At 40.1% G+C, this 678-nt stretch overlaps 1 annotated feature.

The window, feature by feature from the left end:
* Window positions 1–557: an enhancer, noted in NCBI's record as "NANOG-H3K27ac hESC enhancer chr11:13798703-13799259 (GRCh37/hg19 assembly coordinates)". NCBI's record gives its function as "activates a minimal SCP1, AML or CMV promoter by ChIP-STARR-seq in primed H9 embryonic stem cells {active_cell/tissue: H9 hESC(primed)}" and the evidence as "EXISTENCE:reporter gene assay evidence [ECO:0000049][PMID:30033119]".

Consider the following 678-nt stretch of genomic DNA (forward strand, 5'->3'; position numbering starts at 1 on the left):
ACATATCCGTCATTTGTTTCTTTTTATTTCCAAATAATATTTTAGCTTATGGATAAAACACATTGTATTTAATAGTTGGTGGACATTTGTATTGTTTCCACTATTTGGCTATATAAATATTAGCTTTTGAATATGAATGTTCATATGCTATGAACATTTGTATATAAGTTTTTGTGTACCCCCAAACTGGGTCATATAGTAACTCCATGTTTAATCTTTTGAAGAACTGCCAAACTGTTTTCCAGAGTGGCGGTGCCATTTAACATTCCCACCAGCACAAAAGAAGTGAAATTTAAATGGCTTGTTCCTGCCTTAACTGATAACATTCCACCACAAAAGAAGTTAAAATGGCCGGTCCTTGCCTTAACCGATGACATCACCTTGTGAAATTCCTTCTCCTGGCTCATCCTGGCTCAAAAAGCTCCCCCACTGAGCACCTTGTGACCCCGACCCCTGCCCGCCAGAGAACAACCCCCTTTGACTGTGATTTTCCTTTACCTACCCAAATCCTATAAAACGGCCCCACCCCTATCTCCCTTCACTGACTCTCTTTTCAGACTCAGCCTGCCTGCACCCAGGTAACTAAAAAGCTTTGTTGCTCACACACACATACAAAACAAAACAAAACAACCAACAACAAAAAAACATTCCCACCAGCAGGGTATGTGTGTTGCAATT

The sequence above is a fragment of the Homo sapiens genome, chromosome 11 (genome assembly GCF_000001405.40).
Source record: "Homo sapiens chromosome 11, GRCh38.p14 Primary Assembly".
Taxonomy (NCBI): domain Eukaryota; kingdom Metazoa; phylum Chordata; class Mammalia; order Primates; family Hominidae; genus Homo; species Homo sapiens.